Source organism: Homo sapiens, chromosome 15 (genome assembly GCF_000001405.40).
Source record: "Homo sapiens chromosome 15, GRCh38.p14 Primary Assembly".
NCBI lineage: Eukaryota > Metazoa > Chordata > Mammalia > Primates > Hominidae > Homo > Homo sapiens.
Genome location: NC_000015.10, coordinates 75,951,329 through 75,973,224, shown reverse-complemented (window position 1 = coordinate 75,973,224; position 21,896 = coordinate 75,951,329). Strand labels below are relative to the sequence as shown.

Here is a 21,896-nt window from a genome sequence, read left to right as displayed (position 1 = left end):
TACAAAATCAGTGTGCAAAAATCACAAGTATTCCTATACACCAATAACAGACAAACAGAGAGCCAAATCATGAGTGAATTCCCATTCACAATTGCTACTAAGAGAATAAAATACCTAGGAATACAATTTACAAGGGATGTGAAGGACCTCTTCAAGGAGTACTACAAAACACTGCTCAAGGAAATAAGAGAGGACACAAACAAATGGAAGAACATTCCATGCTCATGGATAGGAAGAATCAATATCTTGAAAATGGCCACACTGTCCAAAGTAATTTAGAGATTCAATGCTATCCCTGTCAAGCTACCATTGACTTTCTTCACAGAATTAGAAAAACCTACTTTAAATTTCATATGGAACCAAAAAAGAGCCTGTATAGCCAAGACAGTCCTGGACAAGAAGAACAAAGCTGAAGGCATCCCCCTACCTGACTTCAAACTATACTATAAGGCTACAGTAACCAAAACAGCATGGTACTGGTACCAAAACAGATATATAGACCAATGGAACAGAACAGAGGCCTCAGAAATTATGCCACACCTCTACAACCATCTTATCTTTGGCAAACCTGACAAAAAATAAGTAAGGGGGAAAGGATTCTCCACTTCATAAATGATGTTGGGAAAACTGGATAGCCATAGGCAGAAAACTGAAACTGGACCCCTTCCTTACACCTTATACAAAAATTAACTCAAGATGAATTAAAGACTTAAACGTAAGACCTAAAACCATAAAAACCCTAGAAGAAAACCTAGGCAATACCATTCGGGATGTAAGCATGGGCAAAGACTTCGTGACTAAAACACCAAAAGCAATGGCAACAAAAGCCAAAATTGACAAATGGGATCTAATTAAACTAAAGAGCTTCTGCACAGCAAAAGAAACTATCATCAGAGTGAACAGGCAACCTACAGAATGTGAGAAAATTTTTGCAATCTATCCATCTGACAAAGGGCTAATATCCAGAATCCATAAGGAACTTAAACAAATTTACAAGAAAAAAACCAACAACCCCATCAAAAAGTGGGCAAAGAATATGAACAGACATTTATCAAAATAAGACATTTATGTGGCCAACAAACATATGAAAAAAGGCTCATCATCACTGGTCATTAGAGAAATGCAAATCAAAACCACAATGAGATACCATCTCATGCCATTTAGAATGACAATCATTAAAAAGTCAGGAAACAACAGATGCTGGAGAAGATATGGAGAAATAGGAATGCTTTTACACTATTTGTGGGAGTATAAATTAGTTCAACCATTGTGGAAGACAGTGTGGGGATTCCTCAAGAATCTAGAACTAGAAATGCCATTTGACCCAGCAATCCCATTACTGGGTATATAGCCAAAGGATTATAAATCATTCTACTATAAAGGCACGTGCACACGTATGTTTATTGTGGCACTGTTCACAATTTTACTCTTATTATGAACTTAGATTTTTTTTAAATGTTTCTTAGTTTTGGTGAGAAGAATTTGAGTTTAGCACCTTTAAAGCACTAGAAGTCCAATTTCCTTTTTCTGGGAATTTTAAGAATATTCAAATTACATAAGAACTTACTTATCTCTGTAAGTCAATAAGAACAGAGCTCCTTGAATTTAAGAGACATTATACTGTAATAATATCCTCTATAGATAGGATATTATATCTCACATAATGAGAGGGAAAGGCCTTTCTGAATTTTGGACACATAGAGACAGAGCTTACAGCTTCATGTCTACAAGTTAGGCACAAGTCAAGAGTAAACACAGAAACACAAAATCTCTCTGGTCCAAAATCAAAGAGGTGTTCTCCTTCCCAGTGGGCATAACATTTTAATTGATTTGAGCTTAAAGAAAATAGACAAATTTTTTTTTAAGTATAACCAGAGTCTCTGTCATCTCACCCAATAGGGATAGATCTATATCACCTTCTACAGAGATCATGAGATGGTCAAACTGTAAAACCAAAACCCTTATTGTTTTTACAGTTAATGAGGAACTGATTAATGAGGGAACCAATAGATGTCACAACTGGCTTAAAGGAGAATTCAAACCACACACATATGTACAGGTAATCAAACATGTTGAAATGAATTTACAAATAGGTATGAAACTAGTCGGTATCCACAGGGCAATCTGTTTTATTATACTGGACAAAATTCATTTGCATTAGCATAAGTTTTCTACAATTTACAGAGTTGTAAAATAGCTCGAAGACAATGAAAATCACAGGTATTTATAGAATCAGATAACCCAGAAAGGTGCATTTGACAGGACACCTGGTCATCTTTTTCTATTGTCTGCTTCAGTCTTTCTCTGGAGAACAATCCAGGAAGCAATCCTTGACTTCTTGGCCCACTTAGACACAAGGTCAGCCAGGCCCTAATCTTTCAACATTTCAGCTGGAACTTACGAGATTCTTTGAGCAAGCATGGGGGCAAGGAGTTTGTCTTCACCTATCCCTGCATCCTTAGCTAGGTGAGGCCTTTTCTTGCTGTCTCACTTTCCTCCATGCATCTTGTGACCCATCCAGAGGATCACTTCAGAGCCAAACATTGCACAGTGTGGAGGTGGGACTCTGATGGGAGAAGGTTTAACTTGGCAAAGAATTACCATTGGAATAATTATCGAGAGTGACCTGGTAAGGTCTGGTTTCACCAGGGCCCTCCCTGAGGGTCATTCCCAACCAGTAACTGCCCATAGAGCCACAGGCTCAGACCTGGGACGGTCCCTGCTGCCTAGGCCAAGGCCCAGCTCTGTACCCTGTCCACAATAGTAGCACCCCCAGTCTTCGATAGGTGGAATTATCATTTGTCAGGTGATAAAACAAAGACTGAAATCTATTTAAGAGAAGCAGTTTAGGAGTACAAACATAGAATATATGAAAAGCTAGTTATATGAAAGTAAAATGATAAAGGTTGAGTTTCACTTATAATTTGAAAACCAACATTTATTGTGCTTCTTCATTGGACGTGTTGTCTCAATTGTATTTTGGTCTCTCAGCAATTTTGCTGGACCTTGCTATGTGTTTCACTAAACTCACTTTTCAAAAGGAGTTGTCAGGATTTTATGAATTGTTTTATTAACCCCAGAAATTTTTAAGGCTTTCTTAAGATCAAATGGTTAAGATAGACTGGCTCGTGGCACTCTTATTAGATAAGAGTTCTGCATTTTCATCTGTAAATTTAGTAGAAGGTTGTAGTTCAAAGAAAAAAGTTCAGAATGCCTCTGCAATATTAATTAAAACAAAGTCCTCTTTACTTTGACTTTTGGCACCATACCATATGCTTTTAAACATCAAGAATTAGATTGATCTTTAGAAACACCTTAAGAATGGAAATAGCAGCCTTGAAGCTTATAATAAAAGAACAGTTTAAAATGCATAAAACAACTCCTCTGTTTAGCTATGCATTTTGTTAACACTTTTTATTTTAGTAACCTTACTTCTGAAAAAGATTCTTCATTAGTGTTCTCAGCAGTAACAACTGATACATCTTTCTTGACCTCACCATGCTTAGAACGAAACTTTAAAAGAGTATAAATTTTATTTAACCCTCACATTTTGCCAGATCACTGTTCTTACAGTAAGCACACATGGCAGGATATGGTGATGAAACTATGGGAACGTACCTGCTCTCTTAGGTCTACTTCTCTTTACCTGAGTTTGTCTTACTGATTTGTGTCACATATCCAAGAATAGAAACTACCTTTCAGAACTAACTCAGGTTTACTGTTCAAAGAAGCTGAAGGCTAATGAAAGGCAACGTATACTCTAAAGATTTTTCATTTTCTTCTTATTGCTGCATACTGAAGTTATACCAAATTATGCATTTGCTTCCAAATTTTGGTTATCCTTTTGATTACTGTCTTTATCATCCATTATTTTCTTTGGAAGGCAGCTGGCAAATACTCCATTATGTCATCAGTAAGAGTTCATTTTCTATGTAGGAATACCACGCAGAGTAACAACTGTGACTTTTGCCCAGCTCTAATACTTAACTTCTTTTGTCAGGAAGTGAACTGATGCTGGCTTCTCTTTGTCTTATTCCAAGTTGGGCATGAGATTTTCCCTGCATTAGAAGGTTGTTGAGACCTGAAGCCTGGGAAGGTAAGATGCCAGCATGAATACTGTCTGTTGAGAACTGTGGTTTAATTGAGTGTCTGGTGATTTAAGAGTGTAAGTCTTTCCAGCTGTTCCTGGTTTATGGTCTTGAACCCTTGAAGTTTTACCAAAACATGGACAGTGAAACACTTCTACAATGGAAAGGCCCATTAACATATTATTTATAATATTTAAACATAATTGTATATTTATTGAAATTGTTACTTAAAGGAAAAATGGACACATAGCAATTTCTATGTATAGATACTTTGTATATACAAGTCTATATGTATCATAAAATAATAAACTAAGAAAAACATATATGTACTTTTTGTTTGTAGTTTTACTTTTTCTTCTGATTTTTTAATAGACTTTTATTTACTTATTTTTGTCTGCTTTGAGACAGGGGTCTTGCTATGTTGCCCAGGCTGGTCTCAAACTCCTGGCCTCAAGCCATCTACCCACCTCAACCTCCCAAGTAACTGAGATTACGCACTCAGCTGCATGCCACTGCACCCAGCACTAGACTTTTTTTTTTTTTTTTTTTTTAGATGGAGTTTCGCTCTATCGCCAAGGCTGGAGTGCAGTGGCACAGTCTTGGCTCACTGCAACCTCTGCCTCCTGGGTTCAAATGATCTCCTCCCTCAGCCTCCTGAGTAGCTGGAATTACAGGCACCCACCACCATGCCCAGCTAATTTTTGTATTTTTAGTAGAGACGGGGTTTCACCACGTTGGCCAGGATGGTCTCGAACTCCTGACCTGACGTGATCCGCCCACCTCAGCCTCCCAAAGTGCTGGGATTACAGGCGTGAGCCACCACACCCAGCCTTAGACTTTATTTTTTAGATCAGTTTTAGATTTCCTCCCTGATCGTTTTTTGAGGCCAGCAAAGTAAGGAGAGTAAAGACTCGATTTTGTTAATATGGAGAAAGAAGACAACATTAAGAAAATCAACAAATTATAAAGTTTTGTCTCAGTACTCTCATGACCCAACCAGCATTCTATGGGTGTTTTTCCCAAAAAGTCTCCATTGGAAAAGACTAGCGAATGCACACACTCAGTAATGAGGGTCATGTTTTTACACTACTGTTGCTTACTCTCACCATTTGTTCGACATGCTTCTTCATTCACTGTGCCTTAGCTAGTTTTAGTAAATAAAATGTTTCAAATTTTCAATGACTTACTTAAGCTAAGAAATTATAGTCCTTCACAATGAAATTATAAACAATATCCTTCCTAGTGACAAATATGGATTATTCTCTATGAAGACTTATTTATACACAACATGTAGTTCATTTAGATACAACTTGTAGTTCATTTCAGCATATAAATTATCTGGGTAACAGTCAATCTTAAAAGAATCAGATTTTGCGGCCAGGCACGTTGGCTCACACCTGTAATCCCAGCACTTTGGGATGCCGAGGTGGGCAGATCACTTGAGGTCAGGAGTTCGAGACCCACCTGGCCAACATGGTGAAACCCCGTCTCTACTAAAAATACAAAAATTAGCTGGGTGTGGTGGTGCACACCTGTGGTCCCAGCTACTCAGGAGGCTGAAGCAGGAGAATCTCTTGAACTCAGAAGGCAGAGGTTGCAGTGAGCTGAGATCACACCATTCCACTCCAGCCTGAGCAACAAAAGCAAGACTCCATCTCAAAAAAAAAAAAAAAAAAAAAATCTAAGATTTTGCTTCATAACTGGACTTAAATTTACTAATACATTTGATGTACTAATAATGATCAGTTTTTAATGGTGCTAATGTCATATAAATGTGACGTTAAACAACAAAAATTTTGTGAGATTGAATGTTAGCTAAATATCTCTACATATTATTAAGAATCTAATAGAGGCTTTAATGAAGTTACATTTATAGCACTAGCTAATAAAAGATGCAAAGGTCACAAGCTAGTCTTCTCTCACTGTTTCTCGGCCTATAAAAATCTAGTAGGGGTTTCATAGGATTTTGGCAACATTTGTTTGTTGTTATATGGCTGTAGACTTTTTTTTTTTTTTTTTTTTTTGAGACGGAGTCTTGCTCTGTTGCCAGGCTGGAGTGCAGCGGCGCGATCTCAGCTCACTGCAACTTCCGCCTCCCGGATTCAAGCAATTCCCTGCCTCAGCCTCCCGGGTAGCTGGGATTACAGGCGCCTACCACCACGCCTGGCTAATTTTTGTATTTTCAGTAGAGATGGGGTTTCACCATCTTGGCCAGGCTGGTCTTGAACTCCTGACCTTGTGATCCACCCACCTTGGCCTCCCACATTGCTGGAATTACAGGTGTGAGCCACCGCGCCCAGCTGACTTATTAAAGGGATCCAAGCCCATGTTGTTTTCTTGAACATTTCTAATAGTTTCATTTTTGATTTGTTTTTTCCATTTTTCATGAGTTGCAAATTGAACTTTGATTGACACAGAGTATCAGGTGGAAGCCAGATTTGACGTATGCCAGTATTAGACTTTCTCTTTCCAGGATAGACCAGCCCAAGTGAAGTGGCACTGACATTGCATCTCCCTTTGGTTAGCGAAGTCTTTTATAATATTGTAAACATGGGGTTTTTTTCTGAGAAATAATGATAGCACATTTATTGATCACCATGCTCTTAACCTTTTCTAGTTATAATTTTTCTTAGTTATTTTATTCCTTGTAAACACACTTGTATAGTGTGTTTCAGTGTTCAAAGCACTCTAGACATTCTTACTTGATTCTGACAATAGCCCTATGTAGTTAAAGCATGTGATGTTATTTTGATTTCACAGTCTTAAGTGACTTGCCCAAGATCACATAGCCAACAAGCATGGAAATAGGGTGAAGAAACCAGTTTTTTCCAGTTCACAGTCCAGTAATGTTTCTTGAAGCTAAATGGTGCTCTGTTTGTTTACATGACTAAAAACTGAGTTATTTTATTCATGTGAAAGGTCTCCTATGTTGTAACAACTTCCTTGAATGCCACAGAATCGAATGAATGTATTTCATGTCAATGTACTAAACGTAGCTTCTGTGTTTGGGAGCAGATAATTGGTGGTATTCAGCCAGAAAACCAATTTGTATAACTTAGATTCTGAATTTCAGAATTTCTCACCTAGTGGAGTATTTGTACCTGTTCCAGCATCCATCTTCAATTCCAGGAAAACATGGGTGATCCTTTATTGCTTGGTATTCACCTCATTAGGTGGCACAACTGTTTGCTAAAACAGTTTGTGCAGAAGTAAGGTCCAGAAGTAATTTAGCAAGAGAGTTACTTACATAAAGACTGAGAGCTACGTAGTTCTGGGTAAATGCTGGTGCAACATGACCTCTTTGTGTTTTGTATAAATGCTGTGCTAGTACTACCAGTTGTCTATATCCACTTAATCCACCCTTACTTTTGAAGGAGTCGATTAATTCTGTTTGCCTGAAATTTGATAATTGTATCATCAATGAAGTCATAACATTTTCATAAATGAGCTAGAGCTTTAAAAGTAGAATCCTTGTACACAGTCATTGGTAGGCAGTGTTTACTTTTTTGTTTGGTAAATATCTGAAATTTTAAAATTCATTTTTAGGTTAGCCAGTCCTACTTCCTGGATAGTAATGTAATATTTAAATTTGTCTTTGCCTTTCCCTAGGTTCTGTTTTGACCTAACAATGATAAGATTGTTTATCCTTTGAATTTGCTTAAAATTACCATCAGGTTTCTACTTTCCCACAAGAGCATGTGATTGCTTTATCCCAGCTGTAAGATAATAGAACAACCTAGTGTTGCTTGGTTTACTTTGTATGCCTTTTTCTATTTGCATAAACCCTGATCTGATTACAAACTTGTATTTACACCATTCCCTTGACTCCTTCCAACTCAAAGTATTTATTGTCCAGTTAAAACATTTATGGTCATATAAGCTGGCTTATCTTTTTTTCTTTGATTTTTTTTTGAGTCAGAGTCTCACCCTGTCGCCCAAGCTGGAGTGCAGTGGCCCGATCTCGGCTCACTGCAAGCTCCGCCTCCCGGGTTCACGCCATTCTCCTGCCTCAGCCTGCAAGTAGCTGGGACTGCAGGCGCCCGCCACCATGCCCAGCTAATTTTTTTGTATTTTTAGTAAAGACAGGGTTTCACCATGTTAGCTAGGATGGTCTCGATCTCCTGACCTCATGATCCACCCGCCTCGGCCTCCCAAACTGCTGGGATTACAGGCGGGAGGCACTGCGTCCGGCCTCTTTTTTTCTTTTTTTTATTTGGAATAGCCTCTCACTCTGTTGCTCTAGCTGGAGTGCAGTGGTGCAATCAGGGCTCACTATGCCTTGACCTGGGCTCAAGTGATTCTCCCACCTCAGCCTCCTGAGTAGTTGTGACTACAGGCGTGGGCCACCAGCCAGCTAATTTTTGTTATTTTTTGTAGAGACGGTGTCTCTACCATGTTGCCCAGGCTGGTCTCAAACTCCTGGGCTCAAGCCATCCTCCTGCCTCAGCCTCGCAAAGTGCTGGGATTACAGGCATGAGCCACTGTGCCCGGCCTGAATTTCAATCTTACTTAAACTCAAACAGCCTTAAGAAATCTGAGTAATGAGTTTATAGCTTTTAAAAGAGATCTTCCTTATCAAAAATAATTATACTATCTCGTTTCAGGATTACTTATCAATGGTTCTGGTTATTTTTTCTAGAATGGAAACTGAACCCTATCTTTAACATTATTTAAAAACTTGAGAGTTATTTTAAAAGTATGACAGGAATTGCTCTCACAGCTAAAATTTTTCCTTAAAAAACCTTTAGCAGTCACAAATAATTGTTACCTACTTAATTCTATTTAAAAAAACAGGAATGATAGAAGGGTTTTATTTTATTTTTGTTATTTTAAAGATACTTTTGAAAACCGTTTAGCACCCAGTTTCTTTTACTCTGTGGAATGCTGCCCCTTTCCTTCTGTGTTTATTTTGTAATGGCACATGGATAGATTGTGATGGTGGTCTCTATGTCAACTTTCTATTGGTGCGTGTGTGTGTGTGTGTTTATGTGTGTTTATTCCATTTCCCTTTTGGGAAGCAGGAATTGGAGCTGGAAGAGAAAGAAACAAATTATTTTCATCTAATCTTTTTTCTCCTCAGCTTATTTAACTGACTTAAACTATGGAAAAATTGGTAATTTATATTTAAAATTTATAAATTGTGTTTCCCACCATATATATTTTTTATTTACATATATATGTATATATATTTTTTGAGACAGGGTCTTGCTCTGTCACCTAGGCTGGACTGCAGTGGCATGATCATAGCTCACTGCAACCTCAAAGTCCTAGGCTTAAGCGATCTTCCCACCTCAGCCTCCAGAGTAGCTGGGACTACGGGTACAACCATGCTTGGCTAATTTTTTTTTTTTTTTTTTTTGAGATGGAGTCTTGCTCTGTTGCCAGGCTGGATGTGCAGTGGCACGATCTCAGCTCACTGCAACCTCCGCCTCCCAGGTTCAAGCAATTCTCTTGCCTCAGCCTCCTGAGTAGCTGTGACTACAGGCGTGCACCACCACACCCAGATAATTTTTGTATTTTTAGTAGAGATGGGGTTTCACCATGTTGGCCAGGATGGTCTCAATATCTTGACCTCGTGATCTGCCCGCCTCGGCCTCCCAAAGTGCTGGGATTACAAGCGTGAGCCACCATGCCCGGCCTAATTTTTTAATTTTTTGTAAAGACAAGGTCTCACTGTATTGCCCAGATAGATCTTGAACTCCTGGCCCCAAGTGATCCTCTCTCCTCAGCCTCCCAAAGTGCTGGGAGTAGAGGCGTGAGTCACTGTGCCTGGCCCTCCAAAATATTTTTACTTTCATTTAAGTTTGCTACCGATATCCTATCCTTACTTTCCCTATGTCCCCTTAATCTTATCTTTATGGTAGTTTAGGAGAATCTAGACTGCCGCTTTGCTTAACTGATACCGCCCCGGGAAGCTATCACCAATCACATCACTGCCTCACATTGAGTAGGACTTGAAGTTCATGAAACATCTTTAATATGCTCATCTAACTCAAATTGATCCTTTGTGCTATATCTTGATGTTCTTTTCTCTTATTTGTTTGTATACTGCTTTATTAGACTATCACATTAGTTATCAAAGCTAGTAGTTAATTCACATGTTGATTTTCTAGGCCTGTATCCTTATTAGTCTAAGGTGGAAGAAACAGAGATAAAATTTCTAAATACCTACCTAAACTGGAAAGGAATAAGGAAGATAATTAATTTAGTAGAATCAACCTTTTTATTCTTGACAAAATCTGGTTAAAACAAACTGGTTTTACACACACATACACTTTTTTACACAGAATTATTGCTGAGTATATTAGTTAATATTAAAGTGTTTTTTATTTTAAATGCTACTATGTTGAAATTGATCTGGTGCCAAACAGTGTCATTCTTGTTAATTTATATCAATCTCTGTGTTTTATAATCCTTTGAACATATTAACAAGGAAAAAGGAATGATTGGTAATACCAAATATTATGGTTCTTTGTTATATAGTTTTAGAGAGCTACAGGTAATTGGCTATAAAATATTTGGTTGGCAGTGGAGAATATTTTTAAAATTCTATAGATAAAAGTAATAAGGAGTAGAGTAGAACTACCAGATATTCAAATATATTATAAAGTAACAGTATTGAAGCAGTGTGGCAAAGGCCCCAGATTAGATGTGTAGATCATTGAAGAAGAATAGAAATAAATGCTGTTATTTATATAAATCTGACATATGTTAAAGGAGGCCCTGTTAAACACTGGGTAATGGATTGATTATTTAATGAATGGGGTTGGAATAACCAGTTAGCAGTTTTAAGGAAAAATGCATTTAGATCATTATCTATACCAGATACAACAAAAAGTCAATTTGTGATAAAGTGTGGACATTTATATGATTGAAAATCTACAAGATAAAAACACTGAATACTCTATAATTTATCTGGAGTTCCTAAGCAGTTGGAAAACTGGAAAAAGAAGATAGTAAAAAATTGTTTTATTATAACAAATTTGCATTTGTTTTATTGTAACTGTAGATCTGTGAGCATTATAGGAAAACCTGTCTACTCCATGTTCACAATCTGAAAATTAGTCTCCTTTTTTCTTCACGTCATCTGGAAACTGTTTTTCTTCCAAACTAGCTAATGAAACACAGAATGCAATTCTTTATCTAAAATTTTATTCTGTAGGTGCGTTGAAAACTATACAGGAGCTCGTTGTGAAGAGGTTTTTCTCCCAGGCTCCAGCATCCAAACTAAAAGTAACCTGTTTGAAGCTTTTGTGGCATTGGCGGTCCTAGTAACACTTATCATTGGAGCCTTCTACTTCCTTTGCAGGTAAGTAAAATAGAAACATGCTTTTGAGAAAAGTAATACATAAAGTAGTTATTCCACTAAATAATTAATATGCCCTTAGTTCTAGATATTTTTCCAGATACTGTATTATGTTTAGTTATCTCTTTAATACAGTTTTTGTTACTAATTTCATTTTTGAAAGAATCTTAATAAGCAGTCTCAATTTGTTCTTTGTTACTGTTGTCAATATTTACCTTGACTTATCTAAACTACTAAGGTAAACCCATACTCACTATAGCAAATATGCCAAAAGCACCTGAATATTTGGGTTAGGTGTATTTAAAGTAAATTTTGTATGTGAAAGAAAAGGAACAACTTACGCAATACTGTACATGTTAGCTTAAGACATATGGTTAATATGCAGGGTCAGCTATCTAGTGCCCACTATTGTGCTAGGCATAAAGAATACAATAGTGAACAAAATAGACATGTTTCCCAACTTCAAAGATACTTAAATCAATTTGGAGAGACAGACAAAAAGGCAATTAATTTGGGGAAACTGGTAACTCACAAGAGAGACAAAAAAAAAAACTACTTGCATGAAGCAATTATGCACTGAAGATTACTTTCATTCGTTTTGATTTTCAATTGTTTTTGAAATTTTGTAAAAGTAAATATAGAATTTAGTAAGTCCAGGAGTTATTTGGCATAACTCTCATCATTAATTAATATTTATGAAACTCACACTGTATTCTATCATAGATACTTGTGAAAATGGAGCTGAAGGTAATCATAAAAGAGAGACAAGTGGGCTTGAGAAGTTTGTATACTAAGAAAGGTAACATATAGGTAAAATAGTATCTTGTTAGATCCTGATTTCTTAACTACTTTACATCAAGGAATAATTAAAAATTGGAGGAAATTGGCTTTTTAAAAATATGTGGTATTAAATAGTTTATTCCAAAACATATCATTTAAGCAATCCAGTAGATTTTATTTCTCATAATTTTAGCATCTGACTACTTCAGATACAAAAATTTAAATACAAGCCCATTGTATCAGATTGCATTTCCGAGGGATGGCCATATGATATCCCTCATTCCCACATACTCTTCTGTAGTGTGACCTTGCCACTCATCCATCAAGAGGTAGAGTTTATTGCTACAGATTCCTTGAATCTAGGCAGGCACCGTGACTGCCTTGATCATAGACTACTTGGGATGCTGCCTCATAGAATCAGCCGCCATGTTGTAAGAAGCCTAAACAGCAGGAAGAACCAGCTCCAGCTGAACTTCCAGCCAACAGCCAGCCTTAACTGCTGGCCATTTTAATGAGCCATCCCAGGCATTCAGCTCATTCAAACCTTTAGTTGACTCCTGACTTAACTGCCAGTTTACTGCAGCTACACAGAGAGCCCAAGCAAAAGATGCCCAGCTGTCAACCCACAGAATCATGAGATAAAGTTTTTTTATCCCCCAAGTTTGGGGTGGTATGTTATGCATAAGTAGATAACCAGAACACCCATCTTTGGAATTAGGTTTATGCTTGACTTTAAATGTATCTATGTTTGGAAAGCTGAATAATGATCTATTCTATCCCTCTAAACATTCTGTCAGTCTAATATGCTAAGGGGAAGACCAATACCTACTTCCCTCATTAATCACTCTTGTGCCAGTTTGGAGATATAGTTTCCATCTGTTATTGATTGGATAATGAATTGTGTTTAATTAATGAATTATGTTTAATTCATTATCATTAATAAGTCAGGATAGTCTAAGTTTGGCTGCAGTAACTACCAACCCTAATACTTTAGTGGCTTAATAAACAGAAGATTATTTCTCACTTATTGTAGGTAATTAGTATGGATTGGCAAGCAGGGCTTTACTAATCATAGTCACTTAAGGACTCAAACTGTTGGAGCAACCACCATCTTGAGTGTTGCTGGTTGTCATAACAAAGGGAAAAGAAAGCTCTGGAAGGTCTCACACTTAAATTAAAATGATCTGTCCCAGAAGTGACACACATCACTACTGACATAACTCACTAGCCAGCAGGAGTTTCATGGTCCTCCTCAATTATAAGAGGTGGCTGGACATGGTAGCTCATGTCTGTATTCCCAAGTGAGAGGACTGCTTGAGCCCAGGAGTTTGAGACCAGCCTGGGCAAGATCACAAGACCCTGTCTCTACAAAATGAAAAATAAAAAAAATTAGCAGGGCATGGTGGTACACATCTGTATTCCCAACTACTCGGGAAGCAGAAGCAGGAGGATCCCCCAAGGCCAGGAGTTTGAGATGCAGTGAGCTGTGATTATGCCACTGCACTCCAACCTGGAAAGAGAACAAGACCTCTGTTTCCTATTTTATATGAATAGATTAAATAGATAATATTTATTTATATATTTATTTACATATATTTACAATAAGAGACATATAATATATCCAGCTGTCAGGAAATGCAATTCAATCATATGCTCATAAGATAAAGAGCCAGAAATACATATCTAATATAGTGACCAAAGGATTTATAAGAATATCTGCTATTCCACTGGGAATTGTTGAGAGTGATTTGTGTGATATTAAATCCATAGAACTTGGGCCAGGTGCTGTGGCTCATGCCTGTAATCCTGCCAAGGTGGGAGGACTACTTGAGACCAGGAGTTTAAGACCAGCCTGGACAACATAGCAAGACCCCGTCTGTACAAAACAATTTTTTTTTTTAATTATCCAGGTGTGGTAACACATGCATGTAGTCCTAGCTGCTTGGGAGGCTGAGATGGGAAGATCGCTTGAGCCCAGGAATGAGAGGCTGCAGTTAAGCCATGACTGCACTACTGCACTCCTGCCTGGGTGAGAGAGCAAGACCCTGTCTCTAAAAAAAATAAATAAATAAACAAATTAATGGAACTTTAATATTGTTGTAGTTGCCCCAAAATGAAATTCCTTTGCCAACCCATTGAGTTTGTGAAGGGCATAGTATATTGTACCCCACAGGTGTTCAATGCCCCAGAGCAGCAAAGTTTCAGAAAGGAGACCTTCTAAGCTATAGCTGTTCTGCAGACTTGTGCCAGAACTTAGAAATATTTCTAGTCTGAAGTACCCTGTAGCAGGCTAAACAATACCTTTTGAGTAGAAAGTATAGGTATAATAGAAGGAAAAGCGTATATATATAAGAACAAGAAGTGGTGCTGAATACAAGAGAAAAGAAAGCTCCAATCACAAACATTATGTGGGTCTCCATCCTGAATTCACACTCTCTGAATGTCTGGGGGTAAAAAGCTAAGAATATAAAATAATCTAGGCTGGTAATGTCATCAGGTGGTTGACAGAAACAAATACAAATCAATTCTTGAAGAGCCTACTTTTATCCTTTACCTTGAAAAGCGTCTCACAGTATGAAAAGATTACCAAACGTAGAATAAAAGAGGCACAATTTATTAGAACTAGCAGAAACAGTAGGTAGTAGGGTAAGATATTCAGAAATCTGTATTTATTGGAAGAATCAGACACATGATATAAAATAAGTATGTTTAATATGTATCAAAAAATAAGTGAGAGGTGGCCGGGCACGGTGGCTGATGCCTGTAATCCCAGCACTTTGGGAGGCCGAGGAGGGCGGATCACAAGGTCAGGAGATCGAGACCATCCTGGCTAACATGGTGAAACCCCGTCTCTACTAAAAATACAAAAAATTAGCCGGGCATGGTGGCGGGTGCCTGTAGTCCCAGCTACTCGTGAGGCTGAGGCAGGAGAATGGCGTGAACCTGGGAGGTGGAGCTTGCAGTGAGCTGAGATCGCACCACTGCACTCCAGCCTGGGCAACAGAGCGAGACTCTGTCTCAAAAAAAATAAAAAATAGAAAATAAAAATTAAGTGAGAGGCTTAGAAATAAGCAAATGTGGCAAAGACTAAAACAGATCTCCAATGAATCAAATATAATTTTTAAAAATTCAGTACATATCTTCAATAAATTTTTAAAATTTAGTGTATGTCTTTAAACAGCAGATTAAACACAATAAAATAATTAATGAATTGGAAAATAGATAGGAAAAAATTACCCAGAGGGTAATTCTAAGAGAAAAAGAAATGGAAAATATTGAAGAGAAGTCAAGAAGCATGGTGACCAGAGTGTGTGTGTCTACCTTATGTTTAGTTGGAATTCCAGAAGAAAAAGACTGGGGCAGAGGCAGTATTTGAAAAAGTAAAGGCAGAGACCTTTTCAGAACTGATGAAAGTTACCCGTAGATGTTAGAAGCCTAACAAATCTCAAGCAGGATAAATAAAAATAAATTTACATATGGGTGCAACAGTGAAATTGTAGAACACCAGTTCTAAAGAGAACATCACAAAAGCAGAAAAGAATGGCAGATTATCGTCAAAGATGCAACAATTAAACCAACAGCTGACTTCTCAGTTGGAAAGAAGCAAAACTAGAAGACAGAGCAGTGATATTTTCAATATGCTGAGAGAAAACAGTTAACCCCAAATTTCTGTGGCAGTGAAAACATCTCTCAGGAATGAGGGTAAGATGAAGACAACTTTTAATAAGCAAACTTTGAGAGAGTTATCCCTCAGTAAACCTTCTGCCTGAAGGATATATGTCAGGTAAAAGGAAGTTGATCCTATACGGCGTGTGTGAAGTGCAAGAAAGAACAGAAAGCTATTACTATGTGAATATCAAAACAAATATTGTATAAATTATAACATAGTATTGTCCTATGTATTTTTTTAAAGGAATTAAAACACATGATAGCAAATAAGCTTAAAGTGTACTAAGGTCTTTGTATGGGGGGAGGATAAATATATAAGTTAATTTTGACCTTGATATTTTAAGATGAGTATTAAAATGTCTAGGGTAACACATAATAGAAAATCAAAGTGTATAATTGCCGGATTAGCAGAAGGACAAAAATGGAATTAAAAATAACCAATTAGTTAAAAATAAATAAAAAAGAAAGCTAAAAAACAGGATAAATAGAAAGTGTGTCACAAGATCTAGGCTGTCCTGTAGTGACCATGTGAACTTGGAAATGTGCTTTCAAGAATGAAATTGTTTTCTGTAATAGTTTTTGGTCCATTAGTGGTTGAAATTGCTTTAAACTGAGGTCCTTTTGAACTTTAGTAACTAATTAGTGCCATCATTGAAGGAGGTCCAAAATGATACCCCACTAATGCTAAAATCTGGGCTAGAATCAGTAGTGTCTCCGGAATAGGAGCAAGTATGCTTTTAGAAAATACACATCATTTTGCAATGGTAAAAGTGATTTTGAATTCATTTTCATTAATGTAAGCTAAAACTGCATATAGACATACTGCAAAAAATGAAATCAACTGTACATTCCAAAATCTATCATAACATAAATCATAACCTATATTAACTGATCAAATGACTGAAAAACCTGATGTACTGTTACCTCAAAAATGTCCAAAATTACTTTTTAAAATGCCATTACTAGAATAATTGACTAAAGGCACCCCATGTCACATAAGGGTCCCAACTGATAATGAAAGCTAACTTCTTTAAAAAGAGCACAAAAATTACATTAAGATACAACAGGTTTGCTGTTGTCTTAAAGGAAAAAGACCAGGTGGCATCATCAGCATCTGGTCCCCACAGATGATCTATGTGTACTAATGGATTTGTTAAATAATGGGGAACAGTTTTAAAGCATCACTGACAATTTCAGGTAGTTGTGGAAAGAAAATGAACCATCAAATAGTCAAGTTTATACTTTCATTTGATGTGTTGTAAAAAGGGGGAAGAAGGGAAATTAAAAAAAAAAAACTTTCTTTCTAGGTCTTCTGACATGCTTTTCCTATTACACTTCCATTTTTGTGTTTCTCTCCTCTTTATTGTCAGGAAAGGCCACTTTCAGAGAGCCAGTTCAGTCCAGTATGATATCAACCTGGTAGAGACGAGCAGTACCAGTGCCCACCACAGTGAGTAAACTCAAAACAAATGCTTATTTTAAAACCCTAGATGAGACTGTTGTTGTTAGATGTAGGGATTTGTATTTAGATCTATCCAGAAAAAAAAGGTTGAGCCTAAACTTTTCTATGGGTTTTTTTTTTTTTTTTTGGCCAGGTACCCTTTTTCACATAAAAATGAATTTATTATCAGTATGACACAAATCACATTTTTTCCCAAAGAAAACAATGTTATCTCAATATATGAAATTCTGATGTAGCTCTAATGTGCTACACAGATATAAGGGACTGGTTTCTCAGAAATATTTTGAAGTGAGCCAGCATATGGGGAGGAAGAAGAGTTTTACCTGTAAAGATCAGCAAATCTTTGGGAAACTTGTAGACAAATTGATGTTTTAAAATTGTCTTGAGACTTCTGGCCAAGATGGAGTAACAGGCACTGGATTTATTTCCTTCTACTTAAAACAACAAAAAATGGACAAAATATATGGAGCATTAAAATTTATGAAGACAAAATATATGAAGACATTGCTATCAGTCATCAAAGGAACCATGAGCCCTGAGAGATGGCAATAGACTAGGTAAGCCAATGATTGCCTTAGATTACTGCCTGGAGAGAATTTCCAGGCTTTTGTGCAAGGTGGGGGACCCCAGGCTGAGTTTGGCTGACTCCGAGTTGAGAAGATGGAGCTAAGAGTCCAAAAAGATCAAGGTGACTATATTGTACTGAGGAGAGTCCTGGAAAAAAGAGAGGTGTATGAAGAGAGAACTCCAGAGATTTTCAGTTCAAGTATTCAGCTGAGTACTAATCAGGGCATGTGTGGGAGGAAAATACTTGAGGTTGTGGAAAAAATCACCTGAAGGATTAGAGGTGCCCAGTATTCACACAGGGCCAGGAAAAGTGTCTGTTCCCACTGAGGCTGGAAACCTCATTATTCACGGGGCACGGGGTAGAGTACATAGAAAGGTGTTTGCCTGATAGTGGGGAATACTAGCCCTAGATTAAGCACTGCTACAGTTCTGCCTAATAAACTGTAAAAGCATGAGCTGACAGAATCAAATTGTTTCCAAATAACTACATCCTAGATCAAAGCTCAACAATGCTGAAAAATAGCTAGTACCCAACAGGTGAAATTAATAATGTTTCACATCCAATACAATTACCAACCTCCAAAGAAGCAGAAAATGTGCTCAAAATGAGAAATATTAAGAAACTGAAAGCCGGGCATGGTGGCTCATACCTGTAATCCCAACACTTTGGGAGGCTGAGGCAGATGGATCACTTGAGGTCAGGAGTTCAAGACCAGCCTGGCCAACGTGGTGAAACCCCATCTCTACTAAAATACAAAAAAAAAAACCAATGGTGGGTGCCTGTAATCCCAGCTACTCGGGAGGCTGAGGCAGGAGAATAGCTTGAACCACAGAGGCGGAGGTTGCATTGAGCCAAGATTGTGCCACTGCACTCCAGCCTGGGCAACAGAGCAAGATTCCGTCTCAAAAAAAAAAAAAAAAGAAATTGAAATTGATACAGATGCTTTAAATACCAGGCAAGCACAGTTATTATAAATGTATTACATAGATTCAAAAGTCAAGTAGAAACATGGAAGATATATTTTTAAAGGACCCAAACCAAACTTCCAGAGATGAAAACTAGTGTCTGAGATCAAAAAAAAAAAAACAAAAAAACAAAAACTGGATGGTATTAACAGCAGATTACACACCATAGAAAATATTGGTGAACTTGAAGATATAGCAGTAGAACTAAGAAAAAAAGAAATGCAGAAAGAAAATTTTTTTAATGAAAAGAGCATCAGTGAACTGTGCGACAACTGCAGGTGGCATAATGTTGAGTCCCTGAAGGAGATAAGAGAGAGGAGGGAACAGAAGAAATAAGAGTCAAAAATTTTTGCAGATTTAATAAAAGCAATCAATTCACACATATAAAAATTTCAACAAAGGCCTGGCACTCTGGCTCACGCCTGTAATCCCAGCATTCTGGGAGGCTGAGGCAGGAGGATCACTTGAACCGAAGAGTTTGAGACCAGCCTGGGAAACATAGTGAGACCTCATCTCTACAAAAAAGAACAAAATTAGCTGGGCATGATGGTGCATATCTGTAGTCCCAGCTACCTGGGAGGTGGGAGAATTGCTTGAGCCCAGGAGGTCAAGGCTGCGGTGAGCCAAGATTGTGCCCCTGCACTCCAGCCTGAGTAACAGAGTAGTAATACACCAAGACACATCATAATCAAATTGCTCAGAACCAGTGATAAAGTCTTAAAGGCAGCTAGAAAAAGACACATTACAGACAGATAACAAAGCTAAGGATTTCAGCAGGCATTTTTCAGAAATAACACACCTTAAAAGAATGGAGCAACATCTGTAATGTATTTTAAAAAGTAAACCTATAATTCTACATCCAGCAAAAATATCTTTCAAACACAAGGCAAAATAGGCAAATCAATCTTGGAAAAGATGAACAAAGTTAGGAGACTCACACTTCCTAATTTCTAAACTTATTATGAAGCTGCAGTAATCAAGGCAAAGTAGTGCTGGCATAAGGATAGACATATAGATGAATGGAATACAATTGAGAGTTCAGACATACCTTCTTACATTTATAGTAAATGCATTTTTTAAAGGGTGCCAGACAATTCAGTGGGGGGTAATAATAGTCTTTTCAACAAATGGTGCTGGAAAAACTGGATATCCACTCACAAAAGAATGGATTTAAACCCCTACATACCATATATAAAAATTAACTCAAAATGGATCAAAGATCTAAATATAAGAGCTAAAACCATATAACTCTTAGTAGAAAACATAGGTGTCAATCTTCATGACCTTGGATTAGGCAATGGATTCTGAGTTATGATTCTAAAAGTACAAGCAACAAAAGAAAAAATACAAAAACTGGATTCATCAACATTAAAAACAAAAAACTTTTGTGCTTCCAAGGATACCCTCAAGAAAGTGAAAAGACAATCTACTTCTGAGAGAAAATTTTTTTAATCATACATATGAGACTTATACATATGATCTGAAATACATATATGTAGTTGAATATATAAACAATATTTACAACTTAATGAAGAAACAACTCATTTTAAAAATGAGCAAAGGATTGGAAAAGAGTTCTCCAAATAATATGTACAAATGACTAGTAATCTCATGAAAAGACAATCATCATTAGCCATCAGGAAATGACGATCAAAACCACAATGAAACCAAGTGTGGTGGCATACTTCTGTAGTCCCAGCTATTGGGAGGCCGCAGTGGAGGATCACTTGAGCCCAGGAGTTTGAGGCTAGCCTGGGTAACATAGCAAGACCCCATCTCTTAAAAAAAAAAAAACTTTGAGGAGGGCGAAAAAAAAGAAAAAAAAATGCACATGAATGTTCGTAGCACATAGCAGCATTATTTATAATAGCCAAAAAGTAGAAATTAGTCAAATGTCCATCAGCTGATAAATGGATATATAAAATGTGTTATATTCCTACTATGGAATATTATTCGGCAGGAAATAGAAATTAAGTAGTAATATATGCTGCAACATGGATGGACTTTGAAAACAACATGCTGAAGTAAAGGACCCAGTCATAAAGGAACACATATTTTATAACATTTATATGAAATGCCCAGAACAGGCAAATCTATAGAGACAGACAGTAGATTAATGTTTGCCTAGGATTGGAGGAAATGGGGGGATGTTGGGGAGTGACGGCTAAGGGATGTGGGCTTTCTTTTTGGGAATGAAAGTGTCATAAATTTGATTGTGCTGATGGTTGTGCAACTCTGAATATACTAAAAGCCATTGAATTGTACAATTTAAATGAGTGAATTTTATGGTACGTGATTGTATCTCAAAACCATAAAAAATCAGTAACTATTTAGAAAAAAATGAAGGCAAAATAGAGATTTTCCAGGCATATGACAGTTGAAAGAATTTATCATCACCAGAACCTCACTAAAGTAAATGTTAAAGGAAGTCCTTCAGGCAAAAGGACAATATCAGATGGAAATATGGATTTACATAAAGGGAGGAAGAGCACCAGAAATGACAACTATGTGGGTAAATGTGTAAGATCTTTCTCGTATTATTTAAATCTCCTTAAGAAATAATTGACCATTTAATGAAATATCATAACAACATAATATGGGACTTACAACATACATAAAAGCAAAATGTATAATAAGAAAATACAAAGATTGGGAGGGTAGCGAGGGAAATACCCCACTGTAAGGTTCTTATGCTGAATGTCAAGCAGTACGTCATCACTTGAAGGGAAACTGTAATAAGTCAAAAGTGTATGCTAGAAACTCTAGAGCAACCTGTAAAAAGTCTAAGTCACCCAGTTAAGATAGAGATTGTAAAATTGGATAAAAATTAATGTGATATGCTATCTGCAAGAAATATACATTAAGTATAAAGACACAAGTTAAAAGCAAAAGGATGAATAAAGATATGTCATGCTGGTGCAGGTGTGGTGTGGCTCATGCCTTGTAATCCCAGCACTTTGGGAGGCCAAGGGGGGCAGACCACTTGAGGTCAGGAGTTCAAGATCAGCCTGGCCAACATGGTGAAACCCTGTCTCTACTAAAAATACAAAAACTAGCT

General features: G+C 37.1%; 1 protein-coding gene across 14 annotated transcripts in view; it reads left to right on the top strand.

The window, feature by feature from the left end:
* Positions 1 to 21,896, top strand: part of NRG4 (neuregulin 4) — a 124,848-nt gene that overhangs the window by 87,016 nt on the left and 15,936 nt on the right. For all 14 annotated transcript variants that reach the window (XR_007064433.1, XR_007064432.1, XM_047432183.1 and 11 more), the window contains 2 exons: positions 11,251 to 11,397; positions 17,214 to 17,293. Coding sequence is in view for 12 of the 14 variants with exons in the window: in XM_047432183.1 (XP_047288139.1) it covers positions 11,251 to 11,397; positions 17,214 to 17,293 (227 nt within the window). In the remaining 2 variants the exon portion in view is untranslated. The remainder of the gene's footprint in view (positions 1 to 11,250; positions 11,398 to 17,213; positions 17,294 to 21,896) is intronic.